The sequence below is a fragment of the Homo sapiens genome, chromosome 7 (assembly GCF_000001405.40).
Source record: "Homo sapiens chromosome 7, GRCh38.p14 Primary Assembly".
Lineage (NCBI taxonomy): Eukaryota > Metazoa > Chordata > Mammalia > Primates > Hominidae > Homo > Homo sapiens.
Genome location: NC_000007.14, coordinates 100852639 through 100867378, shown reverse-complemented (window position 1 = coordinate 100867378; position 14740 = coordinate 100852639). Strand labels below are relative to the sequence as shown.

General features: G+C 56.1%; 1 protein-coding gene across 13 annotated transcripts in view, besides 6 other annotated features; it reads right to left on the bottom strand.

Annotated features, from left to right (window-relative positions):
* Positions 255 to 344: a silencer, noted in NCBI's record as "silent region_18464". NCBI's record gives its function as "represses an Ori minimal core promoter by ATAC-STARR-seq in GM12878 lymphoblastoid cells {active_cell/tissue: GM12878}" and the evidence as "EXISTENCE:reporter gene assay evidence [ECO:0000049][PMID:35858748]".
* Positions 367 to 14740, bottom strand: part of SLC12A9 (solute carrier family 12 member 9) — a 40144-nt gene continuing 25770 nt past the window's right edge. For 2 of the 13 annotated variants that reach the window (XM_047420627.1, XM_047420628.1), the window contains 13 exons: positions 13001 to 13223; positions 12625 to 12759; positions 11542 to 11673; positions 10203 to 10511; positions 8437 to 8544; positions 8218 to 8329; positions 7337 to 7494; positions 7147 to 7229; positions 6117 to 6241; positions 5795 to 5987; positions 5468 to 5642; positions 4552 to 4698; positions 367 to 1660 (listed from right to left, as the gene is read on the bottom strand). In XM_047420627.1, coding sequence (XP_047276583.1) covers positions 774 to 1660; positions 4552 to 4698; positions 5468 to 5642; positions 5795 to 5987; positions 6117 to 6241; positions 7147 to 7229; positions 7337 to 7494; positions 8218 to 8329; positions 8437 to 8544; positions 10203 to 10511; positions 11542 to 11673; positions 12625 to 12759; positions 13001 to 13181 — 2745 coding nt within the window. In that variant the 5' untranslated portion in view covers positions 13182 to 13223 and the 3' untranslated portion in view covers positions 367 to 773. Of the gene's footprint in view, positions 1661 to 1829; positions 2093 to 4551; positions 4699 to 5467; positions 5643 to 5794; positions 5988 to 6116; positions 6242 to 7146; positions 7230 to 7336; positions 7495 to 8217; positions 8330 to 8436; positions 8545 to 10202; positions 10512 to 11541; positions 11674 to 12624; positions 12760 to 13000; positions 13224 to 14360; positions 14667 to 14740 lie in introns of those variants that run through there. The other 11 variants (NM_001363494.1, XM_047420632.1, XM_047420626.1 and 8 more) reach the window with 10 other exon arrangements.
* Positions 5971 to 6472: an enhancer, noted in NCBI's record as "H3K4me1 hESC enhancer chr7:100458529-100459030 (GRCh37/hg19 assembly coordinates)". NCBI's record gives its function as "activates a minimal SCP1, AML or CMV promoter by ChIP-STARR-seq in naive H9 embryonic stem cells {active_cell/tissue: H9 hESC(naive)}" and the evidence as "EXISTENCE:reporter gene assay evidence [ECO:0000049][PMID:30033119]".
* Positions 6691 to 7190: an enhancer, noted in NCBI's record as "H3K4me1 hESC enhancer chr7:100457811-100458310 (GRCh37/hg19 assembly coordinates)". NCBI's record gives its function as "activates a minimal SCP1, AML or CMV promoter by ChIP-STARR-seq in primed H9 embryonic stem cells {active_cell/tissue: H9 hESC(primed)}" and the evidence as "EXISTENCE:reporter gene assay evidence [ECO:0000049][PMID:30033119]".
* Positions 7848 to 8348: an enhancer, noted in NCBI's record as "H3K4me1 hESC enhancer chr7:100456653-100457153 (GRCh37/hg19 assembly coordinates)". NCBI's record gives its function as "activates a minimal SCP1, AML or CMV promoter by ChIP-STARR-seq in naive H9 embryonic stem cells {active_cell/tissue: H9 hESC(naive)}" and the evidence as "EXISTENCE:reporter gene assay evidence [ECO:0000049][PMID:30033119]".
* Positions 8349 to 8849: an enhancer, noted in NCBI's record as "H3K4me1 hESC enhancer chr7:100456152-100456652 (GRCh37/hg19 assembly coordinates)". NCBI's record gives its function as "activates a minimal SCP1, AML or CMV promoter by ChIP-STARR-seq in naive H9 embryonic stem cells {active_cell/tissue: H9 hESC(naive)}" and the evidence as "EXISTENCE:reporter gene assay evidence [ECO:0000049][PMID:30033119]".
* Positions 14430 to 14739: a silencer, noted in NCBI's record as "silent region_18463". NCBI's record gives its function as "represses an Ori minimal core promoter by ATAC-STARR-seq in GM12878 lymphoblastoid cells {active_cell/tissue: GM12878}" and the evidence as "EXISTENCE:reporter gene assay evidence [ECO:0000049][PMID:35858748]".

Genomic DNA, 14740 nt, shown 5'->3' with positions numbered 1-14740 from the left:
TTTTTCCTCTTCCTCCCTAATTTTGGGGACGACCACGCCTCCGATGACGTCACCACATTCCTGGGGGAGGGTCACGTGGCCCCCTAGGCCCTAAACTGCCATTTCTCCCTGAGTCAGCCCCCTCCTGCCGAGAGGGGAGGGCTCTCCGGGGGATCCCGAGTCACTGGGGGTTGCGGGCAGCTGGGGATGGGAGGTGCGGGCCCGAGCCAGCCTCCAAGTCCACGGATGCGTCCGGGCCCCGCACCCCAGCCCTGCACGTGGCAGCCTCGCGGCGGGAGGCTGAAGGCTCCGATCTCCACCCCTCTGCAGAGCTCTCCATTCCCACCCCCTCCCTCTCAGCTACCCACCAGCACTGCTCAGCCAGCCTGTAGTGTTTTGGTCTTTTATTCATGGTCAGCAGAGTTAGAAAAATAAAACAGAACGAAAACATCACCACCCCAGTGGGCCGGTGAGTCTGGCCAAAATGGGGAAACTGAGGTAGCCCAGAGTCACAGAGGAGGCCTGGCCCCTAGCATCAAGGCACCAGTGAAGGGAGGCTGCGGACTCCCTCCCCTGCACGGTGGGGACAGCCACCCAGAGTTAGTGTGCTGGGGTCCCTCTGCCAAAGGAGGTGGGCGTGATGCCCAAGCCCAGGATCCCCTTCAAACCTCCCCTGGGCTCCACGTCCCAAGGGCAGGGCCACGGGCCACAGTGGCCTCCTCTTCCTCCTCCTCCAAGGATCAGGATAGGCCGCCTGCCTGGGCCCTCTCTACCTAGCCCTGGAGGCAGGGGCATCACAGATCAGTGCAGGTGACTGGAGTGACCCCATGAACCAGCAGCGTGGGGCCCAGGTCTCGGGTTAGAGTCTCCAGTAGCGCCAGGTAGCGGGGGTATCGGGCGGGATCGGCTGGCGGCCGAGGCAAGTACAGGAAGGTGAGGGCTGTGATGGGGCCCTCAGCATCCCCACCCTCCGGCCCACCCGGCCCTCCTCCTGTGCCGCGCCCCTGCTGGGCCCGAACCAGGGCGTTGGCGCTGCGTGCCAGGGCCTCTGCCTCTGCGTCTCCCCGCCCACTGTTCACAAAGTCCCCTTCCTCCTCCGCCTCGGGTTCCCCAGCCCCGGCCCCCTCGCCCCACACCACCTCCTGCACCTCAGCCCGGATCCTCAGTTGGCTCAGCAGTGCCCGCAGCCGCCCCTCGGCCGCCCCAGGCGCCTCCCGAGGCCCCAGGCACAGGAAGATCCGGAGCCGGGCGCTATGCCAAGCGGGCACCATGCCCAAGATGGTTGCCATCTGCAGCAGGAAGAGGCCGCAGACATCCACATAGCCGGGCCCACCCCGGGGCCGCAGCAGGTTGAGGGGCCACACGTCCACATGGTGCAGCTGAGAGGTGCCCCCAGACCCCCGGCTCAGCCGCTCAGGGGGCAAGGCCCCGCTGGCCCGGGCCAGCACCACATTCTTGTTCATCTTGAGGGCGTCGGCCACCGTGGCCACATAGTCCTGGGGATTGAGGGCCCGGGGGCTCCCAGGAGCCCGGGGAGGAGGGAACAGGGTGCTCAGAGCTGGGGAACTGCCCTCCCTGGTGCTGTCTGCAGGCTCAGAGAAAGCCGGGTCCGTCAGGAAATGGTCCTGCGGTGGAGCGTCATCGTAGAAACCTAGGACCAACGTGTTGGGCTTCATGCCACCTGGGGGCAGAGCGGGGAAGGCAGGAACAGACAGGAGTCAGGCTCACAGGCTAAGTTTACACCACGCTCCCACACACTGACAGCAAGGTGCGTCAGCCATAGGTATGACATTCCCACTGTGTACGGGCTCTTACGGCAACATTCTGCATATTTGCATAAAGACTTTTCATTTTTCCTAAACACTTTCACATGCATTTATTTTATTATCTCAGTGACTAATCTCCTCCACTTAAACAGGCAAAGTTCGCCTTAGGATTCTTGCCACTAATGAGCACTCCAATTCTATGGAGAGGAGGATGCTGTCCACTCCCGGCTTCTAGCGGGGCATCTGTTTCACGGCAGGGGATGCGAGTTTGACTCTGTTGTGCAAACCAGACACCCTGATCAGCCAAGCTCATGACCTGAATCCCCAGGGTAATAGCGTCCCAGACTCTGCAATGGGAAGATGAAAAAATGGACCAGGCAGGGCACCGTGGCTCACACCTGTAATCGCAGCATCTTGGGAAGCTGAGGCACGTTGATCACCTGAGATCAGGAGTTTGAGACCAGCCTGGCCAATACGGTGAAATGCTATCTCTACTAAAAATACAAAAATTAGCCGGGCATTGTGGTGGGCATCTATAATCCCAGCTACTCAGGAGGCTGAGACATGAGAATTGCCTGAACCCGGAAGGTGGTGGTTGTAGTAAGCCGAGATCACGCCACTGCACTCCAGCCTGGGCAACAGAGCGAGACTCCATCTCAAAAAAAAAGAAAAAAAGAAACAGGGCTACCCCGTATGTTTACTGCAGTAAACCCTAACCCTAGTAGGTTTTACCAAAACCCTAATCATGGTGGTTCATTGCATGGTATCCGCTTACCAGGGGCTATGTCCTGTAGAAAGCACTTTATATTTTAACTTATTTGAAACTCGAAGTAATGCTATGAGGTAGGTAATATTTAGTCTCCTCTTTTTACTGATAAGGAGCCCAAAGCACCAAGGGATGAAGTCACTTGCCCATAGGCTCATATCTGGTAGGTACTGGGGCAGGTAGGTCAACGCAATCCGCCTCCATCCAGCGTGAGAGGCCACACTCTGAGCCACCGAGCTGGGCACGTGGCAACCACAATGCTCCAAGTCCCTGCTGACAAGCTCTTCGTTCTTAATTTTTGAACAACCCTTGTGGAATCGGATAATTGCTGAGTTTACAGGGAGACGCAGAGACCTCTTCCAAGACCCCTTCTCATGAAACAAACACTGCTCAAGCCATAAATCAAATTTTCTATGACAGGAGAATCCACCATTTAAAGGAACTACTTTTCCTTTTATTGGAATAGGTTGGTGCAAAAGTAATTGTGGTTCTTTTTTTCCCCCATTAAAATGGCATCCCAGCACTTTGGGAGGCTGAGGCAGGCGGATCACCTGAGGTTGGAAGTTCGAGATCAGCCTGGGCAATATGGTGAAACCCCGTCTCTACCAAAAATATACAAAAATTAGCCGGACAATGCTGGCGTATATCTGTAGTCCCAGCTACTTGGGAGGCTGAGATGGGAGAATACTTGAACCCGGGAGGCAGAGGTTGCAGTGAGCTGACATTGTGCCACTGCACTCCAGCCTGGGCAACAGAGTGAGACCCTGTCCAAAAAAAAAAAAAAAAAAAGGCAAAAACCGCAATTGCTTTTGCACCGACCTGATATCTTCCACAGGAAAAATTTCGTATTTCATAAGCATTGTGGTCTCTGCACAAAAAGTGAAGACCAGGCTCTCAGATGTTCTGTGGGTCAATGATGCTTGACGACACCCCAAAACATCTCCGCAGGTGTGAATTCCAGCTGATCTTGCAAAATAAACTAGTCATGCCCCCTCCTCAGTATTTCCCAGGGTTCTGATTTACACTGAACTGGGCAATGTCCAACACTGTTGAACTTTAGCCAGACTCTGAATAGAGAAGGAAGCATGCACTTTGGTGACGGGCACTGGTCCAGGATTAAGGGAAAAGGCAGTGACTGAGCATAGATAACCCTGGTGGCCTCAGCGCTAAAAGCTGAGAATTTACCGCTCCATCCACAGACGTCCGCCCCACACAGCCTCCGGCATCCTTTGTGGCTTTGGGTGGCGGGGGCAGGGGAGACATGTTACATCTCCTACATCCCAACCTCTTTCAAAGTCTGGATGAATTACCATCTCTCCGCAAAACCTTTGCTGGCCACATCAGTGTATAGTGGCTGGCCTGCCTTCCTCTGAACACTGGTGGTTAAAAACCATCTGATTTGATGAGGCAGCTGGAGATTCAAATAATGCTCCATTGTCTCCAAAAATACACTCTTCAGTGCCTATGCCCCAATTTTTGGATCAGAAAAAAAAAGAAGGAAAGGCTGGGCACAGTGGTACATGCCTGTAATCCCAGCACTTTGGGAGGCCGAGGCGGGTAGATCACCTGAGGTCAGGAGCTCGACACTGGCCTGGGCAACATGGTGAAACCCCCATCTCTACTAAAAATACAAAAATTAGCCAGGTATGGTAGCACATGCCTATAGTCCCAGATATTTGGGAGGCTAAGACAGGAGAATCACTTGAACCTGGGAGGTGGAGGAGGCAGTGAGCCAAGATCGTGCCACTGTACTCCAGCCTGGGCAAGACAGAGTGAGACTCCGTCTCAAAAAAAAAAAAAAAAAAGAAGAAGGAAAAAAAACCCACAACATCGCCCACCCCATCACTAGTCCCTAGCATCTCCTATTAGACCTTATCACACACTGTCTGAGGCTATTATCTTTGAGCACTGTCTTATCTCCTCTCGACTATAAGGTCCTTTTGCAGTTTGCAATCTGTGGCTGACTCTCTAGGGGAGGGGAGCGGAGATTTGAAGTGGCCACAGAGGAAGGCCGAGGGCATCCAGGGAGAAGCAGCTCACCGAGGCCGGAGATTCGCAGCAGATGCTGAGCCCCCTGGCGCACGGAGGGTGAGAGGGTTAGATCCACAAAAGCCTTCACCTGGGCACGGTCCACCAGGCTGAGCCATGCCCCATACTGCGGCTGTACAGGGTCCGAGGGCAGGGAGTCTACAGAGAAGATAAGGAAAGGAAGGTAGCCAGTGTTGTCCAAACTCAATGTCTCCTAGAGTCCAAATCACAGACGGGCCTGGGCAGGGCTATGGCTACTTGGAGGGGTCATGGGAAAGGATAAAAGGGGCAGAGGGGCTGGTGTCGGGGCTCATGCCTGTAATCCCTGCCCTTTGGGAAGCCAAGGTGGGAGGGCTGCTTGAGCCAGGAGTTCCAGACAGCCTGGGAAACATAAAGAGACCTCATCTCTACAAATGAGCCAGGCCTGGTGGCACACACCTGTAGTCCCAGCTACTCAGGAGGCCAAGGCAGGAGGATTACTTGAGCCCAAGAGGTTGAGGCTGCAGTGAACTATGATGGCACCACTGCTCTCCAGCCTGGGTGACAGAGCAAGACCTTGTCTCAAAAAAAAGCGGGGGAGGGGTTCTGGCCGTGGTGGCTCACACCTACAATTCCAGCACTTTGGGAGGCCGAGATGGGCGGAGCACTTGAGGTCAGGAGTTCGAGACTAGCTTGGCCAACATGGTGAAACCCCTTCTCTACTAAAAATACAAAAACTAGCCAGGCATGATGGTGTGTGCCTGTAATCCCAGCTCAGGAGGCTAAGGCAGGAGAATTACTTGAACCTGGGAGGTGGAGGTTGCAGTGAGCCAAGATCGTCCCACTGCACTCCAGCCTGGGCAACAGAACGAAGCTCCATCTCAAAAAAAAAAAAAAGGTAGGGGGAGAGAAGGATGGGAGTGAGTGAGTGAGTGGGAGGGCAGCTCACCGAGGTCTCCCAGGGTGACGTGGCCCAGCACATACAGCCCCCCCTTCTTAAGCTGGTTGGCCAACCGCAGCAGAGGCAGGGCGCCCCGGGGGTTCCCCACCAGGAGCAGCAGCTGGGGCCGCCAGAACTTCACGTGATCCTTCCGGACGTCCAGCCGAAGCAGATACTTACGCACCTGGGTATAGGGGTGAGGCAGTGGGGAAGTGGCAGGATCAAATGCACAGCCCCGTTCAGCGCCTCCTGGACGGGAGCACCAACTCCAGCCAAAGAGAGAGGGGGTTCTTTGACCACCTCCCATTTCCCCACCGCCCCACCAGCTCCCCATACCTGGTGGAAAAGCAAGGCCTGGCTGACATAGCCCCAGCTACTGGGGCCTCCTCGCGCGGTGAGCAGGGCAGCCAGCAGACCCATGAGGAGCAGGGAGCCACCAGCCGCGCCAGGACTGATGAGGAACATCATGAGCAGGCAGGAGGCCACCCCCAGCAGGCAGGTGTGCCAGGAGAACAGGCTGAAGGTGGGGCTGCGGGCATGGAGGGGAGGAGGGACAGAAACTCAGGGCAGGCCGCACACGAGGCTGCAGTCCCCAGCCCCACGCCTGAGCCCGAGTCCTCCCTTCTTCTCTCTGGGGACACAGATCTGAGTCTCTCACCGGAAGTTGGGGGCCGAGGCCCACTCCAGGCTCAGGCAGGACAGGTCCACGGCAGCATAGGCCACCAGGTAGAAGACAGTGACCACAGCAGCCAGTGTGTTCAGCTTCCCAGCCAGGAGCACCAGCTGGGCAAGGGCCAAGAGGCGTGCCGTTGTTCCAAAGTGCCAGTGCACCCCCAAAATGCCAGTGAACACCAAAGAATGCCAGTGTACCCCAAAGTGTCAATGAGCCCCAGAAAGTGCCAGTGAACCCTGCAAAGTGCCAGTGCACCCCCAAAGTGTCAATGAACCCCCAAAATGCTATTAAACCCCAAAAGTGCCAGTGCACCCCCAAAGTGTCAATGAGCCCCTAAAATGCTATTAAACCCCAAAAGTGCCAGTGTATCCCCAGTGTCAGTGAACCCCAGAAAGTGCCAGTGTACCCCCAAAGTGTCAGTGAACCCTGGAAAGTACCAGTGAACCATGCAAAGTGCCAGCGCACCCCCAAAGTGTCAATGAACCCCAGAGAGTGCCAGTGCACCCCAAAGTGTCAATGAACCCTGAAAAGTGCCCGTGAGCCCTGTAAAGTGCAAGTGCACCCCCAATGTCAGTGATCCCCAGAAAGGGCCAATGCACTCCCACAGAGTGCCACCAAACCTCCAAAGTATCAGTGAACCCCCACAAAGTGTTGGTACATCCCACAGAGTGCCAGTGAATCCCTCAAAGTGCTGGGGCACCCCACAAAGTGCCAGTGAATACTGAAAAATACTAGTATACCCCAAAAAGTGTCAGTGAACCCTGCACAATGCCCGTGTACCCCAAAAAGTGCCAGTGAACCTCCCAGGGTGCCAATGAACTCTGCAAAGCACTGGGGCAACCTGCAAGGTGCTGGTGAACCCCACAAAGTGCCAGTGAACCCTGCAGAGTGCCAGTGCAACCCCAAGTGCATACGCATTTGTCTTTACATTTGTCTCCCAGCCTGCATCTAACTGCACCCCCATCCTGCCAGCTGGTGGGGTGAGGGAAAGGGCCCCTTGAAGAAGAAGGCTCACCTGCACCAGGCCCCAAGAATAAAGTACAGCTGCCCAGGGGTTTCCCCCTCGGGACACAACCTTGGCCGGTGCCAAGATCACGCCTAGAAAAACAGAATCCACAGCAGACACATCAGCCAGGGCTCAGCGGGGACGGAGAGACAGACAAGGGAGGGCGTGCTCCAAGCCAGCAAGGAGGCAGAGAACCCACCAAAGAGGTCATCCCGGGCCAGGGCATGGAGGATGCGGGAGGCACCAATGAGCGAGCTCATGGACGCTGAGAGCGCTGTGGCATAGATTCCGATCAACACCAGTGGGGGCCACAGGCTGATGGCGCGGAAGAACCCATAGTCTTCCTGCAGCAGGGTCCTAGGAAGGAGGAAAAGGAGGACACGGATGATCATGCGTCACGGGGTAAGAAAATCTCCAGCCCCGATCTTAAGGATCAGACTCAGATATCAAATGTGCTAAAGGGATATGCCTGGTATTCATTGGGCAGCCTTGGATTTAATCACTCAGTGGTCATTCCTTCCTTTTTTTTAAGAGACAAGGTCTCACTCCAACCCCCAGGCTAAAGTGCAGTGCTGTAATCATAGCTCACTGCAGCCTCGACCTCTTGGACTCAAGCAATCCTCCCACCTCAGCCTCCCAAGTAGCCAAGACTACAAGCATTTGCCATCACACCTGGCTAATTTTTGTATTTGGGGGGAGGCTCTTGCTCTGTTGCCCAGGCTGGTCTGGAACTCCTGGGCTCCAGCGATCCTCCTGCCTCAGCCTCCCAAAGTGCTGGGATTACAGGTGTGAGCCACCGCACCCGGCTGTCATACCTAATGGTATATGCACAAGAGGCCAAATATTTGTGGAAATGCAAACTGGGTAGAAAGCCACTACCCACCCTCACTCCCAAGCTAAGTGCCTGCAACAGTACTGGGTCCATGGCAGCTGCTGGCTATAGGTTGTCAATCGCCGGTAGCCACCCTCCACCCCAACAAGCTGGGTTTCTGCTTCCCAGTCCCCCAGCCTGTGTTTCCCCTTGGTGACCCAGGTGCACCAATCTTGTTCGACACTCCACCCCCATCCCTCCCCAGACACCTGTCACAAGTGAAGCTGGAGAGAAAGAAAAGCAGGACATAGACGAAGAAGGTGTAGGCGACGGCGACGATCGTGCCCAGAGGGATCGCCCGGCTGGGGTCCTTCAGCTCCCCTGGAGAGGGGGAGCAGAGGGAGTGAGGTCAGCCCTCCAGCCATCCCCCTGGGTCCCTCACGGTGGCAGCCCCAAACCCCCAGGAGGCAGCAGGCAGGGACTCTCACCTGACATGTTGGCCCCAGCCATGATGCCTGTACAGCCGTTAAAGAGGACAGCAAAGACGCTGGCAAAATTCATCACGGCTCCCGTGGTGTAGTCCTCAGCATAGCCAGCTAGGAGGATCCTCCCAGGGAGGAGAGTGCATCAGCATCCGTCTCAGGGATCCAGGCCTCTTAGCCACCCTCTCCACACATTCCCACGGTCCTCTTGCCTCCCCTGCACTGCCCTCACTAAGACCCCAGCCTGTTCCTGCACTGGCCCTGGGTCAGCCAGACACATTGCCACGTCCCCCCAGTGCTCCGATATTCCTCCCTCCAGACCCTAATCCACGCTCTTTTATTTATTTATTTATTTTTTAGAGACAGGGTCTGGCTCTGTCATCCAGGCTGGAGTGCAGTGGCACCATCGTAGCTCACTGCAACCTCTACCTCCTGGGCTAGAGCGATCCTCCTGCCTCAGTCTGCCAAGTAGCTGGGACTACAGGTGTGCACCACCATGCCCATCTAACTTTTTAATTTTATTTATTTATTTATTTTGAGATGGAGTCTCGCTGTGTCACCCAGGCGAGAGTGCAGTGGTGCGATCTCGGCTCACTGCAACTTCTGCCTCCCAGGTTCAAGCAATTCCCCTGTCTCAGCCTCTCAGGTAGCTGGGATTACAGGTGCCCGCCACCACGCCTGGCTAATTTTTGTATTTTTAGTAGAGATGGGGTTTCACCATGTTGGCCAGGCTGATCTCGAACTCCTGGACTCAGGTGATCCACCCGCCTCGACCTCCGAAAGTCCTGGGATTACAGGCGGGAGCCACCGCACCCAGCCTATTTATTTTTTTGAGACGGAGTCTCGTTCTGAAGCCCAGGCTGGAGGGCAGTGGTGGCGATCTTAGCTCACTGCAGCCTCTGCCTCCCGGGTTCAAGAGATTCTCATGCCTCAGCCTCCTGAGTAGCTGGGACTACAGGTGCGCACCACCACCCCTGGCTAATTTTTGTATTTTTATTTTATGGTGTTTTTTTTGTTTGTTTGTTTTTTGGAGAGGGAACCTCACTGTCTCCCAGGCTGGAGTGCAATGGTGCAATCTCGGCTCACTGAATGGCACAATCTCGGCTCCTCCTCCCGGGTTCAATCAGTTCTCCCTCAGCTTCCCGAGTGTCTGGCACTACAGGTGCAAGCCAGCGTGCCCAGCTAATTTTCGTGTTTTTAGTAGAGACGGGGAGAGGGTTTCACCATGTTGGCCAGACTGGTCTCAAACTCCTGACCTCAGGTGATCCTCCTGCCTCGGCCTCCCAGAATGCTGGGATTACAGGCGTGAGCCACCGCACCTGGTCTCAAGCTCTTTCCTGAGATGCCTTCCCTCTCTGCTCCCAGCTCCTGGCTGAATCCCCCACCTGTCTATCTCAGGCCACCTCCAGCTCCCCGGCTCCTGCCCTCCCCAGCCCATAGTCAGGCCTCCCTTCTCTCCACTCCTGGGTGATCCTGATCTGTTTAAGTCATGCTGGGCCATTCTGTGCTATTTAACTGATTCCTGAATGCATGTCTCTCCTCAGCTAGAACACAAGTTCCTCTAAAGCAGGGACTGTTTTGTGGGCTTCCTCCTGCCCTGCCGGCCAAGCACACGCTAGACAGGCTTGAATTAAATTGCACTGCTCTGCAGTCCAGACCTCCTGCCCTCCATTCCCTCTGACACCTGTGCTCATCCAGAGGTTTTACGGGCCCGGCCCGACGTCTGCCCACCCCTCACCCCGAGATCCCTGCCACGGCAGCACCCAGCTCACCGCCCAAGTTGTCCTTCAGGGTACTGCTGTTGAAGCCGGTGAAGTGGCCAAACCGGGGCGGCAGGGAGGAGCCATTGGGGCCAGGCCTAGGAGTCAAGCGGATGTCCCTCGGCCCCACAGCCACAAAACTGATGAGCACAGAGGCCAGGGAGCCAGAGACCAGCAGGAATGTGAGGAATGAGGCCCGGGCATAGAGGCCGGCTCCCAGGGTGCAGACCCCACCCACAAGGCCCAGCAGCAGGGAGCCATACAGCAGGTTCCAGCCGTAGCCCTGGGGCAGGACCCGGAGCCCACTGGGCCCTGTGGCATCTGGAGAGAGGTAGGGACAGAGTTAGAAGGCCCGATCCTAAGGCACCCCACCAGCCGGGCATGGTGGGCGGCTCACATCTATAATTCCAGCACTTTGGGAGGCCGAGGTGGGAGGATTGCTTGAGTCCAGGAGTTTAAAACTAACCTGGGCAACATTGTGAAACCCCAGCTCCACAAAAACTGCAAAATTAGCCAGGTGTGGGGAGGCATGCCTGTAGTCCAGCTACTGGGAGGCTGAGGTGGGAGAATCGCATGAGCCCGGGAGGCAGAAGTTGCATTGAGCCGAGATGGTACCACTGCACTCCAGCCTTGGTGACAGAGTGAGACCTTCTCTCAAGAAAAAAAAAAAAAAGAAGAAGGGGCAGGGCGCCGGGGCTCACGCCTGTAATCCCAACACTTTGGGAAGCTGAGGCAGGTGGATCACTTGAGGTCAGGAGTTCAAGACCAGCCTGGCCAACATGGTGAAACCCCGTCTCTACTAAAAATACAAACATTAGCCAGGCGTGGTGGTGAGTGCCTGTAATCCCAGCTACTCAAGAGGCTAAGGCAGGAGAATTGCTTGAACCCGGGAGGCAAAGGTTGCAGTGAGCGGAGATCACACCACTGTACTCCAGCCTGGGCAACAAAGCAAGACTCCATCTCAAAATAAATAAATAAATAAGAAGGGACCCAGCCCCAACTGTGACCCAAAGCAAGACAAGCCCTCCTCTGCCCACCTGCTATCAGAGAGTCCACCTTCCCCACTTCCCTCTTAGCTCCATCCTAGCATCTTAGCTCTCCCTGGTGGTCTCTGTCAGTTTTAAGAATCTTAGCCTGGTCTCTCCGATTAGATGGTTAGCTCCCTGCAGGCAAGGACAATCTCAGGGATGTCCATATCTCCTGCACGATGCTGGCCACACAGCAGAAGCTCCAGAAAGCCAAGGTAATGGCTCAGTCTGCCCCTCTGCTGGAGAGGACCTTCTCCCTCATGATCCCACACTCCCAGACCCTGTAAACCCGCAGCACTGCCCAGATCGGACAGAGCACAGACCGGCCCCGAAGACATCAAGCACAGACTCCACCAGCCCCAGGAGGGAGACGGCACAGCCACAGACGTTAGCCAGGTAGAACATGAGCCCAATGCTGCCCCCGACCTCGGGCCCCAGTGTGCGGCTGATCATGACTGAAAGTGGAAGCAGGGGTGAGCATTAAGGGAAAAGACTGAAATGGACGTGAGGAAGTTGCCATAGCTCCAAGCACTGAACCCAAGTGCAGCCAGGCCCCAGCCATGTGGCTTTGCCCAAGTCACTCATATCCTCTGAGTGCCAGTTTCTGCATCTGTAAAACAATCACTGCCTAACAGATGAGATTGTTGGACTAGAAATTGGCATCAACGTGCAGGGCAATGTTGATCTCCTTCACTATACCAGCCTGCCTGCTGCACATTTATTAAAACTTGCCCTGCCAGGCCAGGCACAGTGGCTGACGCCTGTAATCCTAGCATTTTGGGAGGCTGAGGCAGGAGGATCACTTGAGGCCAGGAATTCAAGACCAGCCTGGGAAACATAGCAAGATTCCATCTCTACAAATATTTAAAAATTAAACAGGGGTGGTGGTACATGCCTATAGTGCTGGCTACTCAGGAGGCTGAGATAGGAGGATCACTTGAGCCCAGGAAGTCGAGATCACAGTGAGCTATGATGGCGCCACTGCACTGCAGCCTGGGAGTCAGAGTCTTGCTCTGTTGCCCAGGTTGGAGTGCAGTGATGCGATCTTGGCACGCTGCAACCTCCACCTCCCAGGTTCAAGCGATTCTCGTGCCTCAGCCTCCCGAGTAGCTGGAATCACAGGCGGGTGCCATCATGCCCAGCTAATTTTTGTAATTTTAGTGGAGTCGGGGTTTCACTATGTTGGCCAGGCTGGTCTTGAACTCCTGGCCTCAAGTGATCCACCCACCTCAGCCTCCCAAAGTGCTGGGATTACAGATGTGAGCCACCGCACCCAGCCTAAAAAAATTTTAAGAATGAAAAAAACACTTGTCTTGCCCCTGAGCCAACAAAGGTAATGGCCCCTTCCACACCCTCCCTAGCAGGCAGAACAGGCCAGACCCCAGTCCATCGATGTTGGAGGATACAGTAGGCTCCGCCCCCCTGCACGGCTCCATTGGTGGCGATGGCACAGACAGAGAGGACGGTGAGTGCCAGGATGAAGTAGGCAACCAGCAGCATGGCCAGGGCCTGCAGTAGCCCAGCATGACCCACCACGAACCCTGAGGCAGGAGCAGCAAATCAGGTCACAGGGGACTCACACCCCATATCCCCCACCCCCTGGTTCTGCAGAGCTCCAGGGTGGAGCTAAATGCAAGCCCACAGAGAGCCCCTCCCCAAACCCTTCAGCCAACCGCTTCTCTTGGGTCCCCTTCCTAATCTTATCCCAGTCCCATCTCCACCCCTCCCCATCATGTCCTCCCATACTATAGTCAGTCCACACCCGCCCCAGGACCCACTCACCAATCCTCAGAAAAACAACTATGCTGAACATGGACAGGACAGTGGGCACCACCACACCCAGGAAGGTGGACAGCTTCCGGGCAGACGCCCCTCCAGGACCCCCGGCCCCATTGGCAGGGAGGGCAACCCCCTCCTCCCCCAGGAGCCGGTAGGCCAGCAGAGGTGAGCTCTCGCTGGCCATGGCTGAGCACAGGTAGAGGAAGCCACAAATGGGTTAGGTGACCTGCAAAGGAGATTATGTTGCATCAAAAGCTCCCCCACAGAGCTCGCCCACCCCCAAAGACCACTAATCAAACACCCTGAAGCCTCCCCAAAAGACAGAGCTGCTCTCTACTAAAAATACAAAAATTGGCCAGGCTCGGTGGTTCATGCCTGTAATCCCAGCACTTTGGGAGGACGAGGCAGGTGGATCACCTGAGGTCAGGAGTTCGAGACCACCCTGGTCAACATGGTGAAACCCCGTCTCTACTAAAAATACAAAAAGTAGCTGGGCATGGTGGCTCATGCCTGTAGTCCCAGCTACTTGGGAGGCTGAGGCAGGAGAATCCCTTGAACCCAGGAGGCAGAGGTTGCAGTGAGCCGACATCACACCACTGCACTCCAGCCTGGGTGACAGAGTGAGACTCCGTCTCACAAGAAAAAAAAAAAAATTAGCCAAGCGTGAAGGTGCATGCCTGTAATCACAGCTACTTGGGAGGCTGAGACACGAGAATCGCTTGAGTCCTGGAGGCGTAGGGCTGCAGCGAGCCGAGATCATGCCACTGCACTCCAGCCTGGGTGACAGAGCGAGACCCTGTGTCAATAAAAAAAAAAAAAGAGACAACCGCAAGGAAACAGGAACGCACCCACACCCTGCTTACCGGCAACTCAAAAAAGTCCGTGGGCTGCAAATGGTACCAGCCACTGCCCCACAAAAAAGTGGTACCCCAAACCTGTCAGCAGGGGTTTCAAGGCCCCTCCCGGCTCCTGGGGGCCACCCCTTCCCTTATGTTCCTGAGACTAGGGATGGCACCGGTTCTGGAAAGGGGCAAAGGTTCTCTGACGGCACAGGCTTCTCCAGCCTCTCCTTCCTTAACTAGCAATGCAAGAGGAACCAAATCTCCCAAAAGGGAAGTAAGTTACGGGCAGGAGAGCCTTCCCCATCCTCTCCTTCGGTGTCCTGAGCTGCCCCTACCAAGCCCCCCAATGCAATCACCGCACCCACAGGTAACAAGAAACTTCCAACTCTTTCAAAACCCCACCCTCCGTCAATCCTCTCCCTCAACCCATCTCAAACCCCCTCCTCCTCGCCTTAGCCTCCCCGATTCCTCCCATCCACACGAGGCACCCCTCCCCACAAACTCTACCAACCCAAACACACCCTAGCGAAACAGAAACACAGACCGGCTCCCACCGAGCGACACAAGGTCCCCGGGTCCTCCTCCTCCCCCAATCCGGGCTCCTGCCCCTTTGCGCCCGTTGGGGTGCAAGGGAGCCAAGATATCCTTCTCCCCGGCCAGGTGCACCCCACAGCTCGGGGGCCGCGAGGCGCTCACTCACCCACCCGCAGGACGCAGCGCTCGGGGGCGATCCCCGCGAGCCGGGGGGCTCCGCTCGGGCGGAGAGTGCACGGGGGCCGGAAAAGACAGCTGCGGCTACCGGGATGCCAGGCCTGGAGCCTGTCCCCACCCCCACCAGCACGCGCGCGCTATTGGTCCCCGTCCTCGGCCCCGCCCCATGGCGCGCCCGGAGAAGCCCGAC